This window comes from Homo sapiens, chromosome 10, assembly GCF_000001405.40.
Source record: "Homo sapiens chromosome 10, GRCh38.p14 Primary Assembly".
NCBI lineage: Eukaryota > Metazoa > Chordata > Mammalia > Primates > Hominidae > Homo > Homo sapiens.
In genome coordinates, this window is record NC_000010.11 from 132,050,074 (window position 1) to 132,074,990 (window position 24,917).

The window sequence follows — 24,917 nt, forward strand, 5'->3', positions numbered from 1 at the left end:
CTACCTGATTGCCAAAGGGAGCTTCTCTCTTCCTTTTTGCCTTCTTTTCTCCCCGGAAGTTCTGTGTTTGGAGGACTGATGTTTTCAATTGCATGCCTGTTTGCATCACTCTTGCCTCTCTGAGCCGGGTTTGCCTCTCTGAAGAGCTCACAGCCCATTTCCTGGCCCTCAGATCCTCGCGCTGCCCGTTAACAGGGTCTGGCTGCTTGGGTTCTCTGAGGCTTCTTTCCGGCAGTGACAGAGGCCCTGCCCAGGCACCTCTCTGGCTCACCCACGTGGAAAGCAGCTTTCTTCTTTGTGGTGGTGTCCAATGGACCCTTCATCGCTCAGCTTGGGTCCCTGTGGTTTCTGCCGGTCGCCTTTGCCACCAGAGGGCGGGAAGTAGTGGGGTGGGGAGCGGGAGGATGTGGGGCCTGGATTTGTTGCTTTTTCTCTTTTTACTCAGTTACTTAGCAGTTTTTGGCACTCTCCAGCTTCATCTTCAAGTCATGCCAAGGGTGTAGTTTGGTGAAGGATTTCTTGAGGTTGTAAAATTATTTTACATAATTTAGGAAGGAGATTTGGGGGGGGTTGATTATGGTAACAGCCTACATTAGCTTCCACCCTGATCATTCCCATACAAGGCACATTTTTTCATTTTTTGTGGAGAACCTTCTAGGGGTAGAACCACTGGGTTGTAAGGTAGGTGTGCATTTTGACTGATAAGAAAAACAAAACACCACATGCACCATTTTGGATGAAAGTTGTTCTGCATCCTTGCTAACATCTGGCATGGTTGGTCTTGTTAATTCCAGCCGTTCTGGTGAGTGGGTACCTGCCTGTCTTTCCTGGCACGGTTGGTCTTGTTAATTCCAGCCGTTCTGGTGAGTGGGTACCTGCCTGTCTTTCCTGGCATGTTGGTCTTGTTAATTCCAGCTGTTCTGGTGGGTGGGTACCTGCCTGTCTTTCCTGGCATGGTTGGTCTTGTTAATTCCAGCCGTTCTGGTTGGGGGGTACCTGCCTGTCTTTCCTGGCATGTTGGTCTTGTTAATTCCAGCCGTTCTGGTGAGTGGGTACCTGCCTGTCTTTCCTGGCACGGTTGGTCTTGTTAATTCCAGCCATTCTGGTGGGTGGGTACCTGCCTGTCTTTCCTGGCACGGTTGGTCTTGTTAATTCCAGCCGTTCTGGTTGGGGGGTACCTGCCTGTCTTTCCTGGCACGGTTGGTCTTAATTCCAGCCGTTCTGGTTGGGGGGTACCTGCCTGTCTTTCCTGGCACGGTTGGTCTTGTTAATTCCAGCTGTTCTGGTTGGGGGGTACCTGCCTGTCTTTCCTGGCATGGTTGGTCTTGTTAATTCCAGCCGTTCTGGTTATGTGGGGGGGTACCTGCCTGTCTTTGTGGGTTTAATGACCATTTCCCTGCCTGCTCATGATTCTGGGGGCTTCTTTACATCTGTTGGACATTTGTACACCTACTTTTGTGAAGTGCCTGTTGGATTCTTTTGCCTATTTTTTTAATTAGGTTGTTTGTCTTTTGACTTTATTTTTACTTTTTTTTTTTTCTTTTTGAGATGTGGTCTCCCTTTGTTGCTCAGGCTGGAGTGCAATGGCACCATCTCAGCCCACTATAGCCTTGACCTCCTGGGCTCAAGCCATCCATCCTCCCACCTCAGCCTCCTGAGTAGTAGGAGACCAGAGGCATCGGCAATCACACCCAGCTCATTTTTATATTTTTCTGTAGAGATGGCGTTTCGCCACATTGCCCAGGTTGCTCTCAAACTCTTGAGTTCAAAGTGATCCACCCACCTCAGCCTCCTAAAGTGCTGGGATTACAGGTGTTAGCCACCACGCTTGGCCAGCAGTTATTTTTCTAAAAGCATATTTAAAACATTATCCCAGCCAGGTGTGGTGGCTCACACCCAGTACTTTGGGAGGCAGAGGCAGGAGGATCATTTGAGTCCAGAATTTTGAAACCAGCCTGGGCAACATAATGAGACCTTGTTTCTACAAAAAATAAAACCACAATTAGCCAGGCATGGTGGTGCATGCCTGTAGTCCCAGCTACTCAAGAGGCTGAGGGGCAGAGAACCACCTGAGCCTGGGAGGGTGAGGCTGCAGTGAGCTGAGATTGTGCCACTACACTCCAGCCTGGGTGACAGAGTGAGACCCTGTCTCAACAACAACAAAACAAAAGCATGATTCCATTGTTGTGTGGCTTCCATTGTCCCTATAAGAAGTCAGCTGTTAGTCTAAATGTCTTCGTTTGACCTTGAGCTTTTCCCTTGGCACATTTTGTTATTTTGTCTTTGTGTTTCCTGCTCCTTCTCCTCCTTGAGTTTTCTTATGTAGATCTAGATTTTGACTTATTTTGAATCTTCAGATTGTTGTCTTTCATCAATTCTAGAGAATTCTGTCAGTATATCTTCAACTTTTGCATCTGGCAAGTTTTCCCCTTCATTTCTCCTTCTGAGAGACCTACTCATTCTATCTTTTATCTCTCGTAGCTTCTTCTCTGGGTTCTGCCTCTTTGTTTGTTTCTTTGTACTTAATTCCAGGTAATTTGTTCTCAATTATCTTCAGAGCATCCGTCCTCTCATCTGTTGTCCAATCTGCCACCAAAAGCGTCCATTGTGCCTTTTGTTTTAATTTATTACATTTGTTATTTCTAAGAGTGTTCTTTTTATTCAAATTTGGTATATCACCTTTTATAGTTTTCTACTCCATGAAGTTATTTTCAAGCTTGTAACTTATTTCTTCAAAGAAATAGAAAAAGTTTATGTGGTGGGGAGTAAGGGTATGTGGGAATTCTGTGCACTTTCTGCTAACTTTGCTGTGAACCTAAAACTGCTCTAAAAAGTCTAGTTTTAAAAATAGAATTGTTTTGTGAACTGTATTTGTCAATTCTAATGTTCAAAAAGTCTGGGTCTTTTAATTGTTTGTATCCTGGCTGTTTCTCATGTGCCTTGTTTCCTGGTTTCCTGGTTCTCATTGGCTAAATATTAGGACATGTTTGTGGGGTTTCTCTGAGACCTGGGATCAATGTGCCTCCCCCAGAGAGGGTCACAGTTGCTCCTGCCAGGCAGCTGGAGGCTCTCCAGTTGGGAACACTTCAAGCCCCGGTTTCAGTCTGGAGTCCCTTGGTCTGCTGAGGTCATCTGCTGATCAGTCTCTGTCACCACCCTCAAAGTTGGGGTTTCTCCTTCCTTTTCCTTTTCTTCTTCTGCTGCCTACCAAGGCAGGCTTCTCTGCAGTCCTATGGAATTGGGGTGAGGCAGAGTGTGGGTTGTATAGTTCTGTTTCCTCTTACCCTAAGGGTTTGAACAGGGGAGACTGTCCTGTGGAACCCCACACCAAAGCAGACATGGTCTTTGTCTCTCATCTCCCTCATCCCCACAAGGTGATGGAACACAGGTGCAGGCTGGGTGCTGGTGAATGCCCTCAGGCGAACACTGCTTTGGTTCTTCAGTAACCTGCTCATGTCTCTCAGTCTACATCGTCCCACGTAATGTGGCCTCTCAGCACTTTTGTTACCTTAAGTGGGAGGTGAGTTCAGACCCCAACCAACCCTAACCTAACTCTAGTTCTGACCTCACCTCGCTTGCCATTACCTGAGAGAGCTCTTCCAGTCCTCATTGTTTCCATGGTTTGAAGAGGGTTTGGCGCTGTTGGAGGAGTGGAGCAGTGAGAACAAAATGCTGGCCACTGCAGGTGTGGTGGCTCACGCCTGTAATCCCAGCACTTTGGGAGGCCGAGGCGGGCAGATCACGAGGTCAGGAGATCGAGACCATCCTGGCTAACATGATGAAACCCTGTCTCTACTAAAAATACAAAAAAAAATTAGCCGGGCATGGTGGTGGGCACCTGTAGTCCCAGCTACTCGGGTGGGGGCTGAGGCAGGAGAACAGCATGAACCCTGGAGGCGGAGCTTGCAGTGAGCTGAGATCGTGCCACTGCACTCCAGCCTGGGTGACAGAGTGAGACTCTGTCTCAAAAAAAAAAAAAAAAAAAAATGCTGGCCACTGAAAGCAGGCCTGTGAACATGGGGCTACCACGTCAGTTTTCAGCTCATTTCTGGAATGGCCAAGGATGGACCAGGGGAACTTTGCATGAACTTGGAAGAGGACATGGAATGAGGCCTCTTCATATAACTTCCCTTCCCAGTGTCTGTGTAAACTGTGGCTCGGAGGAGCTGGCAGGCTCAGGGAAGGTTCTGTGAATGTAAGGGGCATGCCTGGAAAAGGCCTGGGTACCCTCTTTTTTTCCCCAATAACTTCAATTTACCAAGAATTTAAAAAAAGGGCGTGTGTAGGAAGACCACCAAGAAGCTTCCTCTGTGAAGAAGCTCAGAGAAAAACTTCTTGGTTCGTGTTTCTGGTATCACTCACCTGCAGGGGTGCAGGCCAACATGGGAGGCTCTGCCAGAGGTTAGGGGCTAGCTTGGCAGATATGGGGGGAGACAAGGTGTGGTACAGGTGGGGTGTGTATGAGTCTGGGCCGGAACCACCCCTGGGTAGCCCACACTACGAACCAGTCTCTGCTAGGGCTGGTGCCAAGACCTAGGTCAAGAGTCAGACAGAGGCAGGATTAGTGCCATAGATTAAGGGAGGAGGGGGTCACCACTAGATTTCAGACCGGGCTAACAGATAAGACTAAGGTGTGGTCAGTGAGCTGAAGTCAGGAATAGAGAGAAGCAGCACCACGGACAGCACCGAAGCTGTTCCCCTGGGCTCGGGGACAGCTGCCCACTTCTTCACAGAGGCAGTTCCAGCTTCCTGAGCCAGCCCTGGCCCTGAGGCCTGGGGATGGGGAGAGTCCTGCACTCCTACACCGAGGACCCTCCGCTTGGGGATAGTGAGAGTCCTGCACTCCTACACCGAGGACCCTCCGCTTGGGGATAGTGAGAGTCCTGCACTCCTACACCGAGGACCCTCCGCTTGGGGATAGTGAGAGTCCTGCCCTCCTACACCGAGGATCCTCCGGTGCACTTGGAAGGTGTTGGATGCTTTGGGGGCTCAGGGGGCGCAGATTTCTTAGGGCTGCTGGGGTTGGTTTTGTTCTTTTTCTCTCTCCAGGGGCCTGAGCAGTGATTCTAAAGTTGGACTCTTAACTGGGAGGTGCACAGCAGATTCTTTCCTCAACAGGAGTAGTGCCTTTCTCTGGGAGGCATAGAAAACAAATTGCTATCAATAGAACTCTTTTCAAGACCTTTACAAATAAACCCCAGAAAGACTGAAGCAGATTTCAAATAAATTGTCCAAGTATCAATGACAAACATGTCCTCTACGATGACATGCAGAGTTCATGCAGGCAGGTCACGTTGGCCACCAGCATTGATCAGTACTTGGTCTCGAAAACAGTGGCTAAGAGCACATGATTTGCGAATGGCATAAGAAAATTAAAATGCAACATCTTTTTTTCTTCAATGTTTGGAAAGAAATTAAAACTGAGCAGGTCTTGCCAAGAAGCCCGCAGGCCATGATGAAATGGGATTGGGAAGCAGGAGTGAAGGAGAGAGGCAAAGGATGGATGTGTGTGCGCAGTTTGCCCGCCGGCAAGCAGGGTTTGAGCCATATCAGTTGGCATGTGCCTCGGTCTTAATTAATGCCTGCTCTCACTTCACTGTCTTTTTATCCCGACATCTTAACATTCTATCTGAACTTGGTCAACAGGAGACTAATGAGCTGCCCCGTGGTGTCCTGGCTCAACCACCCTCTCACCCTTGCCTCCCCCGGGGTTTGTGTCCCACTGTGCCATCAGGCGACCTGGAGGTGCAGAGAGCCCAGTAATTAGCCTTCTCCCCATGGGGTTCCTGGGCTTCTGCCCCCTTCCTGCCTCAAGTCTTGTTCAGATATTCTGAAGAGGAATTCCAGCTGTCATTTTCCCTGGAGCTCCCCACAGTGCATGCGGATGGTCCAGAATGAGTTTCCTTCCAAGTGCTGTGAACATGACTCCACCTGGGGACACTTGAGTCCGCCTGGGGACACACGCCGCCCTTGCCCATCCATTTCCAGCCAGCATTGCCTGCTTGTTTGTGGTCAGTTTGTGTTTGTCTTTTTAAAAGTTTGGCTCAGAAGTTGGAAAATCTGGATGAGTCTGGCCTCGTTCCTGGTGAGCGGTGGGACCCTGGGCACCTTCTGTCACCCCCACACTCAGTTTCTCCACCAACAGTGAGGGCGCCTCTCAGCACATTGCCACCGGGCTGTAAAGCTTGTCCGTGGCCTGTGGAGGTGATGGGTGCAGCCCATCCCCAGCGTCTCTGCTGCTCACTGTTGTCCACGTTGAATTGGTTTAATCGCAAGCTGTGAGCATGTCCTCTGCCTTTATTTTGCATGCAGAGAAAGCCCTGGAAACCCAAATACCCACTAACCCCATCCAGGTCTCAGGGTCCCATCTTTTCCTACAGGGCCCTGACTTTGGTACTGGAGACCAATCGAGGCCATGTGTTCCATCCCCTTTGTGGCTCTGCTGCCCTTAGAGTTCCTGCACCTGGTGTTCAGTGGCCACAGGATACTAGGGCCTCCTTATCTGCCACCACGAGGGCCATCGGACTTGGGCAGTGTGCGCTGGGTTGAAAGCGAGGCAGATCATGCCTGTCATTTTCTTTTTGTGAGGCCACCGAAGCTGCCAGCAGAAGCCCTCTGAAGTCCTCACAGTTGCACTGACCCATGGGAGCCAAGTGGTCCCCACCTCCCGTCTGTACTTTGTCCCGGTGCACCACCAGTGAGGCTGCTGAATGCCAGGGGCATCGCCACCCACACCCACTGCAGGAGGGCTCTCGCCTGGCCTGATGGTGACTGATCCATTTCCAGAATACCAGGCACTCGGGGGTCCAGCTCCCACCCAGTGGTCCAGATCCCATCCAGGGGTCAGAGGTCCAGCTCCCGCCCTGGGTTCCAGGTCCTGCCCTGGGGTCCGGATTCTACCCTGGGTTCTAGATCCTACCCAGGGGTCTAGAATTCCACCCTGGGGGTGGCTCTCAGCCTATATCCCACCAGTGCTCATCCCAAGCGGAGCTCAGACAAGGACCTGTGTGTAGCATGTGGTATTTTAGGAAGGACTCCGGGGAAAGGAATGGGGGCTGGGAAGAGTGAACCAGGGAGGGAGGAAGGTCAGCCCCAGAGGCTGTGCTGGCTGCTGGCCACTACTGTGGCAACATCTGGGCGCAACCCCCTGGGACCCTCGAAAGAGCCGGAGAGTGGGCCTCACTGTTGTCCACCCCAGGAGGGAAGAGGCGTGCGCTGACTTCCTGGCTTCAGACCCACTGGCTGGACGTGCATTGGGTGTGAGCTCCTTGCACACCAGGCTTTGCGTGCATGAAAGAGGCCTCATGTCCTGTGGTTCCAGGAAGCCCAGAGCCCAGCGTGGGCAGGAGCACGCCGCCGACTGCCTTGCCACTGTATCGCCCTCAGAGGCTGGTTGCACAGGAAGGATAAATGTGGGATGCTCACAGGACACACGCTGCCCCGCCGGTTAGTGTCAGAACTGCATGAGATGCAGCACAGAGTGCATTTAGGAGGGCCCCGGCATGTGGCACAGGCCCCACGAGGCTGGCGATTCCTGTCGTCACCTGAGCAGCCCTGCACGTGTGTGTTCTCCGCTTGGCCTTCTTCTCCTTCCTGTGCAGGTATCTCTGCTCTTTCGAGTACAGCAGGGGTGTCGACCCCTTGGTGCTGGGTGCTCAGGGCTGAAACGAAGGCAGCTGGGTCCTGTGTCAACCCCAGTGAGAGGGACGCTGTCTCCAGTGCCGTCCTGGACAGCGCCTCCCTCCCTCAACCCAGCATGAATGCAGTGTGTTCTCTGCAGTGGTTTTGGATCAGATACACTAATAACGCACATAATGGCACTGTGACCACACTGCACACTGGTGCGTACGAAGTGGAGACAGGGTTCGGGTGACACTCAAACAGGAGAGTCTGCAATCAGGGCCGCATCCTGGGGCTGGACGGGGCCAGATCCTCGGCCCCTGACGACTCAAGTCCAAGTGCTGCCTGCCACATCCTTCCCTCAATTAAGGGACTGGCTTGGTGTCCGGTGTTTGGGGCTGCTTGGTGGTGGGAATGAGTCTCAGATCCTGTGAGAGCCACCGACCTATGGGAACAAGGCTGAGGTCAACACCTTGGGGCCCAATTTATTCCCATGGATTCGGCAGTGACTTTGGAACGAGGCTGCTTTCATCTGGTGATGGATTCATTTGGCACCCATGGGTGGAAATACAAAGTGAGGGCCTCAGAGCTGATCTCTGATGTGGTTTGTGGTTCACAGGGCTCTGGAAGTAGCCCCTGCTGCAGCCCAAATCAGCTCCGTAGACCAGGCACAGGTGTATCCAGGCCCCAGGGGCGCAGGGTGACGGCCTCCATCGGGAAGAGGTAGCGAGGCTTTTGCTCAACTTCCCTGCAGGTGGGAGGAGGAGCCTGTCCTCCCCACAACCTTTCTCTGGAGGGTCCTGTGTGCTAACCCCATCTGCTGCGGAGCAGAGAACCCTCCTCCCCGGAGGCCGCTCCCCTGGGCACGCAGGTGGTGAACTTCAGCAATGACTCATTTGCCGTGGGCAGCTGGTGAAGATGCTTCTTAGTATTTTCATGTGTCATTCTGGTTACACGTGTGTGAGGATCAAAAAAGTCAGTTACCCAAAGCAGTGGGGAGGGGACGCACCCGGCTGTTGGAAAATCACAGGTTGTCTTGATGGGTGCTGCATCCAGATGCTTCTCGACAGACGAGGGAGTCATATGTCTGGATAAATCCACCGTATGTTCAAGCGATCAAAAATGCATAAAGTACCCCGGTAATCCCATCATAAGGTCGAAGCCTTGTAAGTTGGCACCGTCTGTGCTTCTGGTTCAGGATTCCGGACGGAGCTTCTTGTGCGGCTCCTTGGTCATCCTTCGCATCGCGTCGCGCCCACGTGAGCCTGGCTGCCTGGCTTCACGCCACCGAGGACTGTCCCAGGGCCACAAGCCCCAGCTGCAGTGGTTGGAGCCGTCGGATGCCCGGCTTGTGTCTGTCTGACTCTGAACAGCTGTTCGCGCGGACGACAAACGCGACCCAGGATGCTGTCTCCTGTGCATTTTCAGCTGCCACGTCCCTAAAAGAACGTCCTGGGGCTTTTGCTAAACTTCCTGCAGATGGAGAGGAGCCTTTCCTCCCGCTGAGCTTCCTTTGGACAGCCTCTGGGTGCCGTCCCCACCTGCTGCTGGTGCCATGTCCGCCATGGGGCATCGTGATGAAGCAGCTTTGGGAGGCTGGACCCTGTGCCTGCCAGGAGACACTGTGCGCTGGCCACAGGATTGTGCATTTGAAGCCTTTCATATGAGCCAATATTTTCCATTTTATTGGAGATGAAGGTGCAAGAGATTGACTTGTTCAAGTCAGGGTGAAAACGCCCAAGTTTGTATATTTCTAACTTAACAGAGCCTGGCGTGGTGACCACAGCAAGGATGACCCAGCCGCCCTGTGCAGGAGGAGGCCAGGCTCAGCCCTGAGGCTCTGTCCCTTTGTGGGGCTCTTGGGCCTCCACCGTCTTGATGTCTGGGGGTGCCGAGGCCGACCCCTCAGGGCATGCAGCCTCCAGCAGTCTTCAGAGAGATGCCAGAGCGGCCTTGGAGGATCGCAGCAGGCGCTTAGTGGGGTGGTTGTGGCGAGGGCCCCACCCACCTGCAGGAATGAGGTAGGCAAGAAATTGTCCCCAGGGAGGGGGCTGGTGCCAGGGCATCCCAGCTCCACCCTACCTGTCCCTTGTCACTGGCCTTGCTAATTTGCAGGTGTTCAAATTCCCAGATATAAGCTGACTTTACCTTGGAGAACCAGAGGGACTGAGAGAGAAAGAGGGAGGGAGGATGGGGAGCTTTCAATCTGGGTTGCTGGAAAGGACAGGGGAGAGTGGAGCCGTGAGCCCTGGAGCCACAGCCACAGCTGCTGGGTTGGGCAGGCCATGCTGTCCCTGGGAGCCAGAGGCTGCATCTTCATGCCCTCTTGGGAACAGGAAGGGGAGATAAAACATTGCTGAAGGAGGCTGCTGCGAAGACCCTGGCATAGAGCTTGGACCCTCGATGCACTGAGCCCTGTGACACTGGACGAAATAAGCCCACCTCAGCACCAAGAGAGGGCAGAAACGTGTCTGTTTCCACTAACTCTGGGTAGGGGAATGTTTTAGGGGGACTTTGAAGAGCTAGGTCTTTGCCTCCCCCAAGTTTGAGGCTGTAAATAATGCAATCCTGTGACTGCAAACTGCCCGGCCGGGAGGTGATGATGAGATGGGGGCCAGGCAGGTTCTGGTGGGCGGGGCAGTCACAGGGGCAGGCACAGGCAGGCTCTGAAGAGACAGGGAGAGAACAATACGGCTATTCTAGGAGATGCAGAGAAAGCGCTTGATGACTTGCAGCACCCATTTACAATTTTAAAAAAATGGACACTTAGCGAATTCGGAATACAGATGAAGGCTTTAACCTGAGGAAGGGAACCTACCAAAATCCTGCAATGACCCTGGTGCGTGTTCCTGCAAGGCAGGAATGAGAGAGGGGTGCAGGCTATCTCGCATGAATTTGCCTCTCCTGAATGATTAATGATGTTTCGTGTCATGGAAAACCTACCTAGCACAAAAAGGTAGGAAAATAATGTAAAAGTATAAAGATTGGAAAGAAACAAAAATATCATTCACAAATGATTTTCTACATAGAAAATACAAGAGAATGGCCAGGTGCAGTGGCTCACGCCTGTAATCCCAGCACTTTGGGAGGCTGAGGCGGATGGATCACTTGAGGTCAGGAGTTTGAGACCAGCTCGGCCAACATGGTGAAACTCCGTCTCCACTAAAAACACAAAAATTAGCTGAGCATGGTGGTGGGTGCCTGTAATCCCAGCTACTTGGGAGGATGAGGCAGGAGAATCGCTTGAACCAGGGGTGGTGGGGGAAGGTTGCAGCGGGCCAAGATCGCACCACTGCACTCCAGCCTAGGCAACAGAGTGAGACTCCATCTCAAGAAAAAAAAATACAAGAGAATATAGAAACAAACTCTTAGGAATAATAGATTTCAGCAAGCTGCTAGTATAAGGTAAATATGAAGTGAGTAACAGTCCTGAGCACCACCTTCTTGCTAGTTGTGATGAGGAAAGGTATCAATAGCACACACACACCTGCCGTGACGGCGCACACACACACCTGCCGTGACGGCGCACACATACACCTGCCGTGACGGCGCACACACACACCTGCCGTGATGGCGCGCACACACACCTGCCGTGACGGCACACACACACACGTTAGGCACCAAGGAGTAAATGCATCACACGTTGTGCAAAACCTTTTGGGGAAAAGCTATATAATTTCGTTGAAGACATAAAAGAAGTCCTAAATAAATGGAGAACTAGCCTACGTTCACAGGCAAGATTCAATGTCAAAGAGATGTCATTTCTTTCCCGGTTAATCTATAAACTCATTATAATTCCAATCAAAATTGAAACCAGTTTTTATTGAGCTTGGCAAGTTGATATAAAAAGGCCAAATTTGAAGATTATATCACTAGAGGCACGTTGGGGCAGAGCTTGACAGAGACCATCACAGTAGAGAACTTAGGGTCCCCAAAAATGGAGCAGAATTGCCACCCAAGCTGGCATTGCCAGGTCAGCGGTAGCACGGGGCTCTCGACGAGGAAGGGTGCACGCTTGGCTTTCCACATGGAGAAGACCCAAGGGTGAAAAGCTAAAACAGACCTCTAGGAGGAAACCTGGGGAGATGTTTTCATGTATGAGACATACATTTCTTAAGAAACAAAAACATAAAACAGAGGAAAACATGTGGGTAAAATGGTTCAATTGAAAGTTTCTGGAGAATGGAAGGCAACATAAAAACTGCAAAGACTAGCTGAGGCTTCGCCAACACTGGACTCCTATCCAGATGGTAGACAAAGACTAGCCGAGGCTTCACCAACACCGGACTCCTATCCAGATTGTAGAACAGCCTCCTTCAAAGCCACGGGTGATGAGCCACAGAGGGAAAGGGGGGCCGGGTGAGCCCAGACGAAGAAACCTGAGAGCCATGGATGATGAGCACGCCACAGAGACACAGGGGAAGAGGGGCCGGGAGAGCCCAGATGAAGAAACCTGGGCAGCCAGTGAGTGGCTGATCATGAGTACTCAGGAAATGCACATTAAATTCAACAGGGAGAAATCCTCTCTGCCCCTCAGACTGCCCATCAGGCTTGGGAGGTGTCGGGAGACAGGCGTTCATCCTGGTCGCTGCTTTGGGTAGCAGCTTGCAGTGCTGAAACAGTCAAAGATGGCTGTCCCTCAGCCCTGCCACCTCCCATTCAAGCGCCTGCTCTGAAAGCTCCTGAGCAGATGGGCCTGAGATGCAGACAGGGGTGCTCGTGGCAGCACCATTTACAATGATGCGAAAACAGAACCCGCCTAACTCCCCGTCAGCCAGGAGGAGGTGGGAAACCAACACAGCGCATGGTTATTTCATATGCGGGGATACAGCGAAGATGGACGAAGATCTACACGCACCAGTGCGGATAGCCCTCGAGGACATGACGTTGAGTGAAAAAAGAAAATTGCAAAAGGATATGTAGAGTATGATGCCAATTATGCTATTTCTCCAAAACACAAAAAGCAATGATGACGAATTCATAGTTATGTAGTAAAAATACAGAAGCCATGCATGGGAATAAAAAAACAGGTCTCAGTCATGAGACAGAGGGACCGAGGATGGGAGCCCCTGGGGGCAGTCCTGGCAGGATTCCAGGAGGAGGTGCCTTTGCATGACGGGAGCTGGGGTGGTGGGTCCAACAGCTGTGTGCAGGGCCTGGAAGGCGCAGGCCTGTCTGGGAAGGGAGGAGAAAAGGAAGGCAGCCATATTTTTGCTTGGATAATAACTGGTGAATGGCTGTGTCAGGACCTGCAATATAATAGAAGGAAGAGTGAAGTTTGGGGCAGGGCAGGTTATTTTTGGACCCGCCGGGTCTGAGAGGCCCCCGAGGAATTGTATGGAGACACCGGGCCAGCAGGACGGGTGGGTCTGGGAATCAGCGATGGAGCAGCAGAGCCCTGGATTTGGGTGTGATCATGGGAGTGGCCAAGCTCCCCCAGAAAGGACAGGTGACAACTGCCCGTGGGTGGGAAAGGGAAGCCAGGGACGGGCTGTGGGATCAGACTTGGGCCTCGTGGTGCCTGGTGAGGCAGCCACGTGAGACATAGAGACCCACTGGAGGTCGTGGTTTTCCCAGACCCTGTGACACAAGTGAGGCCTGCTGTTTAAGCCTCTTTTCCTCAGAACACGTCCTGGGGGTGCTGGCTCCATCCCAGGTGCTGGGGCTCGGTTTCTGGGATCTGGAAGAATTAGGGTGGAGCTGGCAATGTGGCTGGGAGGCTCAAAGCTCAGCTTCTTGAGGACTAGCAAGGATGGTTTTCTTATTCATCTATTCCTGTGTTTTCCAAATTCTCTACAATGAGCACATTTCACTTTTACAACTAGAAAAATGGATGCTATTTAAAGAGCAGGCTGCTCCCTAAGCTGGAACGCCGGGTGTCAGCCCGGCCCAGCACCCACCTGCTCTCCGCCTCAGCCAGCGTGGGGATTTGGAAGGGACAGTGTCTCCCTCTGGGCTCCGGGAGAGAACGGACCGTCTGCAAGGGGCACGTTTACTGCAGGAATCAAAAGCACATACACGCATGTGCATCTGTTTGGAAATGAAAGTAGATGTTTTTTCTGATTCTAAAAATATTGTTTCCAATTCTACAAAAAAAATACATACAATTCAGAAAGATACAAAACAAAATATCAAGTCACCTGAGATCCTATCACCTGGAGCTATGGCCACTTTAGAGCTTGGTATCTACGCTTTCAGGCTTTGTTTTTCTTGAGTGCAACACACACAGGCACGCGTTTTTAAAAACAAATAATGTGATCATACTATACACACTTTTTTAAACAGAAATGTGAGCATACGATACCAGCTTTTTTATGGCTGACTTTAAAAAACTTAAACAATAGGTTGTTTACGTCTTTCTGTTAAGCTTGGACTGGGGACATTTTTAAATGGCCCCATTGTATTTGGACGTATGTGCGTTTCCCATCGCTTGTTAAATCACTCCTCTGTTGGACGTCTAGGATGTTTCCAATTATTCCCTGTTATATTATGGACAACACTGCCGTAAGCATCCCTGAGTGAGTTATATTTAAAGGCTTACAACAGCGCCTGGCACGGGGTAGGTGCTATAAAGTATTTGGACTAAAGTCAAATCTGTGCACACACCATCCTTGTGTTGTTTCCCCAGGATCAATTCCAGCAGGAGGACAGCTGGGCTGAGGGGGCACTGCCCTCGTCAGGAAGGTTGTCCCCGTGGCCTGCCTCCGACTGAGGAGGAGCCACCCTCGGGGTCGGGCGTGGACCCCGAGCCGCCGGCATGGGAACCCTCTTTGCTTCAGGGCAACACGGGAGGGGTCTGGATCTCCGACCCACCGTTCCGGGTCTGAATCCAGCTCCGGGACCTGACAGGGATGTGATTGTGGGGCAGCCGCATGGCCTCTTGGCGCTCCAGCCTCCTCCCCTGTGACATAGAGGCAGCGATGGTTGGTAACCAGGGACAGCGGGCGGCTCCGTCACACGAGTCAGGACATGTGACCCTTGGAGGGTTGTTGCATCACCCTGGACGTTTGGCCAGACGTGTGGCCATGGTTTTAATCAGGACAATTTTTTGCTTGCTCTAACTTATGAGGGTGGCCAGATCTAGACAGACAGCAGAAGTAACCCGAAGTCCTGGCCTGCCCTGTGCCATCCTCTGACATGTTATCATCGGCGTTCACTCTGTGGGCTCCTCTCGGGGTGATGCCTGCCGGTCTCAGCTTTGGGGTGAAGTGACATTTGGCCTTGACTAGAAGAGGCAGGTTGTGGGGGGCAGGCAGGGTGCAGGCGAGGGAACTGAGGCAGAGCGGGCTGGGAGCAGGGGGGATGTAGGGTCCTCCCAGGCTGACCCCCAGAACCTGGGCGTGCAGGCCTGCTCTGGGGTCCAGGCTCCGATGCAGTCTCAGCGCAGGCCCTGGTGGCCGGAGACAGGGCAGGGCAGGAGCTTCAGGCCACCCGCACCGGCAGCCCTCAAGGCTGCCTTGATGGAATCGGACCCAGATGGACTCTAAGCGGCCTCCTGCTTGGAAACCCTGTCAGACCCTGCGTTTTCTACAGAGCGGCTGTCACACGGCTTTTCCGGACGGTGATTATGGACTGCGTGTGGGATTGGCGGGCCAGGTGAGCTCTCGTGCTTGCCCTTCACACAGGAATGCTGCTGGTCTCCTGTGTCTGGTTCCCGTCTGCATTTTCAGTCCTCAGTGTTGAGTGTGTGCAAATCCCTTCTATCACCTGACATTTAAAATAGATACCCTCAGAGTGGAAGTTCGTTCCTATTATTGACCCGCTCACTCTGCAATCTTGAAGGGGGTTCTCCAAGCAGGAGGGAAAGCCGGCCAGAACGCGGTCCTGGAGCAGCCAGGAAGCCGAGGGGGCGGTGAGGGCAGGGATGGCCCAGCCGTGGCCTCTGCCGCTCGCTGGTTTTCACGTGAGACTGCCGCCGGGCCAACCCGGAGCCCAGGCCGCCTCTGCATCTGAATAGAGCCAAGCTGCCTTCAGGATCTCACCTGCGTGGCTGTGCCTTCGGCCGCCCGGCCGTGCAGAGCTGCGGGCCCCTTCCCCACCGAGAAGCGTCTGTTCGCGCCCTGCAGGGAGCTGGGCTGGGGGCTCAGAGGATGCCTCTGTGCTTGGCCTTAAGGTGCACAGGGAGAGCTTGGGCGATCCTGGCTCAAGGGCTCTGCTTGGAAACAGCTCGGGGAAATGGTTCCTCCCCCTGGATGTAGTCACAGCGTGGTAAATTCCATCTGAAAAATAAAAGCCGAGCTCTTTGCTGAGTCATAGAAGCTCGGAGCTGATTTGCGCAAAAGCCGGACTGAGTCTTGGACGAGCCGGGAAAGATTCTCACAGTCGAGCAGAGCGATGGGAGAGAGGAGCAGACAGCGAGCTTTGGAATGTGAGTGTTTATTTTCTGACTGCTGCAGAGGCTTTGTTGGTTTCGGTTTGGCTGTCTCTGCACAGGCTCTTTCCACCTGGTGCTCTTCTGTATTTAGTGCGCACACGTATGTGGCTGGAAAGTTGACAGTTTGGGGTCTGTCCTCTGAGGGGTGCAGGGACGATCACAGAGGAAGATGCTTCATTTATCCGTTTTCACGTTCATGCTCATGCACACATTTGGAGGAGGCTTGGGCCTGCGTTCCCAGTAGTAGGTTTCTCCTTTAAAGCATGGGTGTGTGTTCCATCCCATATGTAAAGCGGATGCTTGTTGGCACGGCAGCCGTGGTGGGGTGGGTTGGGGAAGCCAGGCTGAGTCTGTGTATTGCCGGCTGTGGTGAGAATCCCACGGACATAGCACCAGAGAGCTGTCTGCACAGCCCGGGAGGCCTGCGGCGTCCGGGTGCTTCCTGGCTCCGTGGGGTAACCGGCTGGACTTTTTTGCTGCTTGTTTTCCTTTTGAAGAATAGGTCATCTTTATGGCTTGAGGCCTCACCACCTACCTGCGCATTGATTGGATGGTGTCTTCTCTTTAAAACTTAATCAAGAATCACACATCACTCATTGATATAACTTCTTATGCAAGGAACTCCAGGTTTTTGGGAAACAACAGCTTATTAACTTACTAATTCACTCTTTGAGGTTATTGCACCATGCCTCAGTTTCTACAGTTGTTCAAAGAAAATCCACTGCTGATTGGGACTGGCAGGGCTGCGGTGGAAAGGGTGTCACAGGTAACTTGGCAGTACGTTGTTGTACTGATGCTTATTGAGATGTCAGTGAGACTGGCCGGGAAACCATGCAGGCACCCTAGGGATGTAAATACTTGCTGCTGCCGTTGATTTTGTTGTTCACAGTGTGGGAGAACCAGTCACAAAACGGTTTTCTCATTCCAAGCCAAGCCTGGAGTAGTAGACTTGAGAGTCCTCTCAGTGGATCGGGCCTTTGAGCAGGTCCGTGGTAAAACGCCACCTCAGTTCCCGAGAAGAGCAGCAGAAGAGGAAAGTGAGCCGGGCCGAGGAAGGACCCTCAGTTTACATTCACAGCATTACCGGCAAAAGGCTGGCGTTTGGATGAGGTTCCCTAAGAGTCCCACAGAGTAGATCAATATGATCAATATGTGCTTGGAGAAGACAAGACGCCTGGCACATTCACATTCCTTCTCCAAGGCTGAGGGTGGGGGGAGGGCATTGGCATTCCTGCTATTCCCGAGGTTTCCCTGCCTCTCCTGTGAGTTGAGGGCACCCCTGTGAAACCTAAGGGCACGCTGTGGCAGAGAACATGCACGGAGCTCCTGCTTCTCTCCCGACAGCCCTGGGAAGGCCTTACTACTTTAGGTCCTAACTAACAATATCCAAACGACCAGGTGGTGGTCCCACAGCAAGGGAGCTGTCAGTCAGAGCTGTGCCTCTGCCCCCGTATTTTGGATCGAGCTCCTCCAAGAGAAGTAAGTGTCCTATACATGTTCTTGGAAGGTTGATCTTGACTGTGGACTTCCGTGTGGACTGTGGGCTTCCGTGTGTACTGTGGGCTTCCGTGTGGACTCTGGGCTTCCGTGTGGACTGGACTGTGGGCTTCCATGTGGACTGTGGGCTTCCGTGTGGACTGTGGGCTTCCGTGTGGACTCTGGGCTTCCATGTGGACTGGACTGTGGGCTTCCGTGTGGACTCTGGGCTTCCGTGTGGACTGTGGGCTTCCGTGTGGACTGTGGGCTTCCGTGTGGACTGGACTGTGGGCTTCTGTGTGGACTGTGGGCTTACGTGTGGACTGTGGGCTTCCGTGTGGACTGGACTGTGGGCTTCTGTGTGGACTCTGGGCTTCTGTGTGGACTGTGGGCTTCCGTGTGGACTCTGGGTTTCTGTGTGGTCTGGACTGTGAGCTTCCGTGTGGACTGTGGGCTTCTGTGTGGACTGGACTATGGGCTTCCGTGTGGACTGTGGGCTTCCGTGTGGACTGTGGGCTTCCGTGTGGACTGTGGGTTTCTGTGTGGACTGTGGGTTTCTGTGTGGTCTGGACTGTGGGCTTCCGTGTGGACTGGACTGTGGGTTTCTGTGTGGACTGTGGGTTTCTGCGTGGTCTGGACTGTGGGCTTCCATGTGGACTGTGGGCTTCCGTGTGCACTGTGGCTTCCGTGTGGACTGTGGGCTTCTGTAAACTGAATTCCATTCAGGACCAATGCCATATCTTTTTATTTTTCCTTGACTCCTGAGTTTCCAGACAGGCAAGCTAGGATGTGGCTGGATGGTGGTGTTAATTTTCCATTTGGACCCTGAAACGGCCCTCTTTAGTACGGGGATTGAATAAGTTCAGGACACTAGCCACTGAGATGACTCTTTTTGAAAGAGCCTATGTTGGCCTCCTAGGCTTCTTCCATGAATCTCTTGGGCAAGTGTTTCTTATCCATGAACCTCTTGGGCAGGTGTTTCTTATCTCAATATAGCCCTGTTGGTCTGGCACCCCAAGCTGGGCTTTGAGCGATGTGAGGTAGACGTGCTTTGGGAGCCGGAGACTGGAGGTGTCTCCTGTCCTGCACCTTAGCCCCAGGAGCTGCCTGGGCCTGCTTTCTTTGCAGACGTCTTATATTTATCAAACCTGTGCTGCAGGCAAGGGCCATGCTTACTTTCCTTTGGGGTCCCTCTGGAAGGCTCTCAGGAGCTGAGTTCTTGATTGCCTTGGGTTTTTGACCCCAGGACATGACATCAGGAATGTCCTGTGGTTGCCAGTTTCCAAGCAAGCACAGCTGGCAGGGGCATCATGGGAAACCCTCTCCTTGGCACAGAGAATTGGTCTCCAGAAAAACCGGGCCTCAAAGTGAAGCCGGAATTCAAACCTAGGGAAAGTGACTCCGGCCAGCTCAGGATGAAGGATGTGACTGGATCAGGAGGATTTGCAGACCTTACTGGCCTTAGTGCTCGGCCTGCGGCTGAGTTCGAGGGGAGCGCCTTTAGCTGGACTGGTCCAATGTGTTTAATTGGGTAAGGAGGAATCCTACCCAGGCGCCATTCTTCCTGGGCACGGAGCTTATTAAAACTTTCCCCAGCTGCTGCTCTTCCCAGACATCCACCTGCCTGGTGGGTGGTTGACCCAGGACTACTTTGACTTTGAAGGACCCCAGGTCTTCCTGCCTGAGGAGGACTCTGAGCACCCAGCCAGGGGTGGGAGGCCAGGGGAGGGGTCTGGAGGCCTCGGTTTTTCTTCTGAAGGGACACTGGGTCTGTGTTACACCCCCAAGGACACGTTTTCCCAGGTCCCCACTGACCTGTTTCGTGTTAAGCTGAGATCCAGTACTATCCTGATGGTGGTGGGGTGGGTCTGAGCAGGAAGGGGCCTGGAATCCATCCCATCTTCACCAGGGACCCCCCAGACAACCTTCTCAGGGGGCTCCTGGGTGTTTTGGTGATGAGCTCCGATGGGGAGGAGTTAGGACTTGGGCTGAAGCTCTGCTGTTTGAAGCTGTCTCACATGTAGGTCTGGCATCCCCCCCTGCGTGCAGGTCTCTGTGGTCAACCTCCTGTTGTGTCCAGCGGCCATGTCCATTTCAGAGTTTCATTAAAGAGCGCAATTGGCAGGTGCATAGCACCTGATAGCCTGCAGCATGGCTCTGGTCTCAGAGTGGGAAGAAGAGGAAACCATGGACAGAAGGACCTTCCAGTGACATTTAGCAAAAAGAAGCAAAGTGTGAAAGTGAGGTGGTGATGTTGGGTTGGGAAGGTGGGGGCTTCCTGAGCCCGCCCTTGCTGCTTATCCATTCCACCAATGTTCACTGGTACCAGCACCCTGTGTGTGGGCACTGATGGCATAGGGCACAATGGGAGCACAGACGGGGCTCGGTCCCCAGTAGAGTGTGACCCACATGGGGAGTTCTGCAGCCTACCCTGTACCTTAGAGAGTGACACGGGGCTGGCAGGTGGCCGGTGGCATCAGGAGCGGTGAGAGGTGCGGCTGCTGATGTACCACCCTGTGGGGGCTTCGGGCACCAACTCCCAGTGAGTGTCTCCACCTGATCTACCTCTGTCTAAACAGCACTGTCTTCCATTTTTTTTTTTAGTTGCATTTTTATTTTTTGAGACAGAGTTTCACTCTTGTTGCCCAGGCTGGGGTGCAGTGGCGCGTTCTTGGCTTACTGCAACCTCTGCCTCCTTGGTTCAAGAAATTCTCCTACCTCAGCCTCCCGAGTAGCTGGAATTACAGGTGTCCGCCACCACACCCGGCTAAATTTTGTATTTTTAGTAGAGATGGGGTTTCGCCATGTTGGTCAGGCTGGTCTTGAACTCCTGATCTCAGGTGATCCGCCTGCCTCAGCCTCCCAAAGTGCAGGGATTACAGGCGTGAGCCACCGCGCCCGACCTGTCCTCTGTCCTCCCTTTAACAGCACTTCTTACCCTCTGCTGCTTTTTGATGTCTTCAGATCCTTAATCCCATGCGTGATCTTTGCTGTGTGAAGCAGTGGAGCTCCTAGAAGGCCTTTTGACCCTCTTCCTTTTATGTAGATGCGTTTGTCTACTCATTCCTGAAGTCCAAAGGGGAGGGGAGTCCAGCTTCCGAAACAGACCTTGGTACCTTCCTTTTCAGTTTTCACAGATGCTTGTGTACTTTAAGAAGAGCTTAGTCTTTATGACTTTTAAAAGAGCCCCCAAAGGCCCTATGATCTGGGCATGGTGGCACATGTCATAGTTTTGGGGCAGCTGCAGTGCTGGCTGGAGCAAACTCAGGAAGAGAGGAGATGGTTTCTTCTCCAGCTGACAGCCACGCTCAGACACAAGCGCTGGGCTTGCAGCTCCCATCCATGCAGAAGGATCTCTATTATTTCTATTTCGCTTACTTTGCATTTACTTTTCTTTTTTCTATGTTCTTAAGATGAAAGCATAAACTAGGATTAGATTATGATTGGAGACCTTTCCTGTGTTCCAGTATAAGCCTTTATTGCCATAACTTTTTCTCTTTATACCACTTTAGCTGTGTCCTGCAACTTCTGGTATGTTGTTCTTGTATTTTCATTCAGTTCAAAATATTTTTATAACTTCGTTATGATTTCTTCTTTCACCTATGGGTCATTTAAAAGTGTGTGTGTGTGTGTGTGTGTGTGTGTGTGTTTTAATCCAGATGTTTCCTTTTTTCTTGATATCTTTCTATTACGTATTTCTCGTTCAATTTCTTTTTGGCCAGAGAACGTACTTTGGATAATTTCAGTTATTTTAACTTTGTTGAGATTTGTTTTATTACCCAGCAAATAGTCTATTTTGATGAATGTTTTATGTGTGCATCAAAATACTACATATTCTGCTATGGTTGGGTGGTATATCCCACAAATGCCAGTCAGATCCACTTGGTTAATGGTGGTGTTGAAATCTTCTGTGTCCTTACAAATTTTCTCTTGCTGCTTTTTCAGTCCTAGGAAGTGAATATCCTTACCAATTTTCTCTGCACTGCTTTCATCTCTTAGAGGGATGAGTGTTAATGTCTCCAATATGATTGTGAATATCCCTGTTTCTACTTCTGTTTCTATTATTTTTGTTGTATGTATTTGGGGTACATATAGATTTAGGATTGGCATGTCTTCTCAATGTATTGACTCCTGTATCATTATGTATAGCTCTTGTTGTCCCTGTATAACGTTTTGCAACTGTTTATTTTTAACCTGTCTATGCCTTTATATTTAGAGTGGGTTTCTTCTTTTTTCTTTCTTTCCTTCCTTCCTTCCTTCTTTCCTTTCCTTTCTTTTCTTTCCTTTCTTCCCTTTCCTTTCTTTCTTTCCTTTCTTTCCTTTCTTTCTTTCCTTCCTTTCTTTCTTTCCTTTCTTTCTTCCCTTCCTTCCTTCCTTTCCTTCCTTTCTTTCCTTTTTTTCCTTTCTTTCTTTCCTTTCTTTTTTGAGATGGAGTTTTACTTCTGTCACCCAGTCTGGAGTGCAATGGCACGATCTCGGCTCACTGCAACCTCTGCCTCCCAGGTTCAAGTGATTCTCCTGCCTCAGCCTCTCGAGTAGCTGGGATTACAGGCATGCACCACCATGCCCGGCTAATTTTTATACTTTTAGTTGAAACAGGGTTCCGCCGGCCTCAGCCTCCCAAAATGCTGGGATTACAGGCATGAGCCACCACACCTGGCCTAAAGTGGGTTTCTTGCAGAAAGCATAAAGTAGATTCTCGCCTTTTTAAAACGTTTAGGCTGGGTGCTGTGGCTCATGCCTGTAATCTCAGCACTTTGGGAGGCTGCGGTGGGAGGATCACTTGAGCTCAGGAATTTGAGACCAGCCTGGGTAACATAGTGAAACCCAGTCTCTACAAAAAATTAAAAAATTAGCTGTAGTGTGGTATAGTCCCAGCTACTTGGGAGGCTGAGGCTGGAGGATCACTTGATCCCAGGAGTTCAAGGCTGCAGTGAGCCATGATCGTACCATAGCACTCCAACCTGGGGGACAGATCAACAGCCTGTCTCAAATAAATAAATAAATAAAACTTTAATCTGAAAATATTTGCCTTTCAACTATGTTGTTTAGCCCATTTACATTTAATATTTAGTGATGCGATTGGATTTAGATCTAGCTTTCTGCTATTTATTTTCTGTTAATATTATCTCTTCTTGCCTTCTTTGTATTAAGTATTTTTTATGATCCTATTTTATCTCCATTCTTGGCCTCTATTCATTATACCTCTCTTTTTAAAATTTTTATTTTTATTTCTTTAGGGTACACGTGTAGATTTCTTACATATGTATATTGTACAGTGGCGACGGCTGGGCTATCAGTGTCCCCATTACCTGAATAGTGAACACTGTATCCAATAGCTAATTTTTCAACCCTCACCCCTCCCACCCTTCCACCTTTTATAGTCTCCAGTATCTGTTCCACTCTGTCTGTCCGTGTGTTCCCATCATTTAGCTCCCACTTGTGAGAACGTGTATTTATTTGACTTTCTGTTTCTGAGTTATTTCATTCAGGATAATAGCCTCTAGTTCTATTCATGTTTCTGCAAAAGACATGATTTCATTCTTTTTTGTGGTTGAGTAGTATTCCATGTTGTGTGTGTGTATGTAGAACACAAATTTTTATCCAATCCTCCACTGATGGACACTTTGATCTTCTTTTCTTTTCTTTTCCTTTTTTCTGAGATGGTGTCTTGCTCTTTCGCCCAGGCCAGACTGCAGTGGCGCTATCTCGGCTCACTACAAGCTCTGCCTCCCAGGTTCATGCCATTCTCCTGCCTCAGCCTCCTGAGTAGCTGGGACTACAGGCGCCTGCCACCGGGCCTGGCTAATTTTTTGTATTTTCAGTAGAGACGGGGTTTCACCATGTTAGCCAGGATGGTCTCAATCTCCTGACCTTGTGATCCACCCACCTCAGCCTCCCAAAGTGCTGGGATTACAGGCGTGAGCCACTGCGCCCGGCCTATCTTTACTTTTTTTTTTTTTTTTTTTTTGAGACAGGATCTTGCTCTGTTGCCCAGGCAGAAGTGCAGTGATGCGATCTCAGCTCACTTCAGCCTTGACCTCCCGGGCTCAAGCGATTCTCCTACCTCAGCCTTCTAAGTAGCTTGGACTATAGGTGTACACCACCATAACTGGCTATTTTTTTGTCTTTTCTGTAAAGACTCGGTTTTACCCCATTGCCCAGGCTGGTCTTGAACTCCTGGGCTCAAGCAGTCCACTTGCCTTGGCCTTCCAAAGTGCTAGGATTACAGGTGTGAGCCACCACACCTGGCCTATCTTTACTATTGTGAATAGTGCTGCAAGAAACATATGGGTGCTGATATCTTTCTTATATAATTATTTCTTTCCTGTTGGGTAGATACCCAATGTTGAGATTGCTGGATCAAATGGCAGTTCTACTTTTAGTTCTTTGAGAAATCTCCATACGGTTTTCCATAGAGGTTGTACTAATTTACATTCCCACCAGCAGCGTACAAGAGTTCCCTTTTGTCTGCATCCTCACCAACATCTGCTATTTTTTGACTTTTGTTTTGTTTTGTTTTTTTGAGACAGAGTCTGGCTCTGCCACTCAGGCTGGAGTGCAGTGGCACAATCTCGGCTCATTGCAACCTCTGCCTCCTGGGTTCAAGGGATTCTGCTGCCTCAGACTCCTGAATAGCTAGGATTACAGGCATGTGCCACCATGCCCAGCTAATTTTTATATTTTTAGTAGAGATGGGGTTTTACTATGTTGGTCAGGCTGGTCTCGAACTCCTGGCCTCAAGTGATCCACCCACCTTGGCCTCCCAAAGTGCTGGGATTACAGGTGTGGGCCATGGCACCTGGCCCCATTTTTTGACTTTTTAATAATAGCTATTCTGACTGGTGTGAGATGGTATCTCATTGTGGTTTTGATTTGCATTTCTCTGGTGATTACTGACATTGAACATTTTTTCATATATTTATTGGCAGTTTGTCTGTCTTTTGAATAATGTGTTTATATCTATCCTTTGCCCACTTTTTAATGGGTTTTTTTCTGGTTGAGTTCTTGGGGTTCCTTGTAGATTCTGGATATTAGCTCTTTGTCGTATGCATAGTTTGCAGATATTTTCTCCCATCCTTTAGATTGTCTGTCTACTCTGTCAATCGTTTCTTTTGCTGTGCAGAAACATTTTAGTTTAAGTCCCATTTGTCTATTTTTGTTTTAGTTGAGTTTGTTTTTGCGGACTCAGTCATGAATTCTTTGCCTAGGCCAATGTCCAGAAGAGTTTTCCTAGGTTTTCTTCTAGGATTTTTATAGTTTTCAGTCTTACTTTTAGGTCTTTAATCCATCTTGAGTTAATTTTTGCATATGATGAGAGGTATGGGTCCAGTTTCATTCTTCTGAATTATGGCTATCCATTTTTCCCAGCACCATTTATTGAAAAGGGTGTCATTTCCCCAGTGCATGTTTTTGTTGACTTTGTTGAAGATCAGCTGGTTGTAGG

General features: G+C 50.6%; 1 protein-coding gene across 48 annotated transcripts in view, besides 4 other annotated features; it reads left to right on the top strand.

Annotated features, from left to right (window-relative positions):
* The window catches only part of JAKMIP3 (Janus kinase and microtubule interacting protein 3), a 148,495-nt gene that overhangs the window by 13,710 nt on the left and 109,868 nt on the right, over nucleotides 1–24,917 (top strand). For 34 of the 48 annotated variants that reach the window (NM_001392040.1, NM_001392042.1, NM_001392041.1 and 31 more), the window contains exon 1: nucleotides 15,873–15,988. The exons of 7 other annotated variants lie outside the window; for them this stretch is intronic. The gene's annotated coding sequence lies outside the window, so the exon portion shown is untranslated. Of the gene's footprint in view, nucleotides 1–14,633; nucleotides 15,217–15,872; nucleotides 15,989–24,917 lie in introns of those variants that run through there. 7 more of the 48 variants (NM_001392047.1, NM_001392048.1, NM_001392039.1 and 4 more) reach the window with 1 other exon arrangement.
* Nucleotides 14,650–15,397: an enhancer, noted in NCBI's record as "H3K4me1 hESC enhancer chr10:133878227-133878974 (GRCh37/hg19 assembly coordinates)". NCBI's record gives its function as "activates a minimal SCP1, AML or CMV promoter by ChIP-STARR-seq in primed H9 embryonic stem cells {active_cell/tissue: H9 hESC(primed)}" and the evidence as "EXISTENCE:reporter gene assay evidence [ECO:0000049][PMID:30033119]".
* Nucleotides 17,672–18,172: an enhancer, noted in NCBI's record as "H3K27ac hESC enhancer chr10:133881249-133881749 (GRCh37/hg19 assembly coordinates)". NCBI's record gives its function as "activates a minimal SCP1, AML or CMV promoter by ChIP-STARR-seq in primed H9 embryonic stem cells {active_cell/tissue: H9 hESC(primed)}" and the evidence as "EXISTENCE:reporter gene assay evidence [ECO:0000049][PMID:30033119]".
* Nucleotides 22,533–22,702: an enhancer, noted in NCBI's record as "experimental_11218 CRE fragment used in MPRA reporter constructs". NCBI's record gives its function as "activates a minimal promoter by MPRAs in K562 erythroleukemia cells, with activity observed for both the introgressed and non-introgressed 10:133886195 variant alleles {active_cell/tissue: K562}" and the evidence as "EXISTENCE:reporter gene assay evidence [ECO:0000049][PMID:34662402]".
* Nucleotides 24,563–24,732: an enhancer, noted in NCBI's record as "experimental_11222 CRE fragment used in MPRA reporter constructs". NCBI's record gives its function as "activates a minimal promoter by MPRAs in K562 erythroleukemia cells, with activity observed for the non-introgressed 10:133888225 variant allele {active_cell/tissue: K562}" and the evidence as "EXISTENCE:reporter gene assay evidence [ECO:0000049][PMID:34662402]".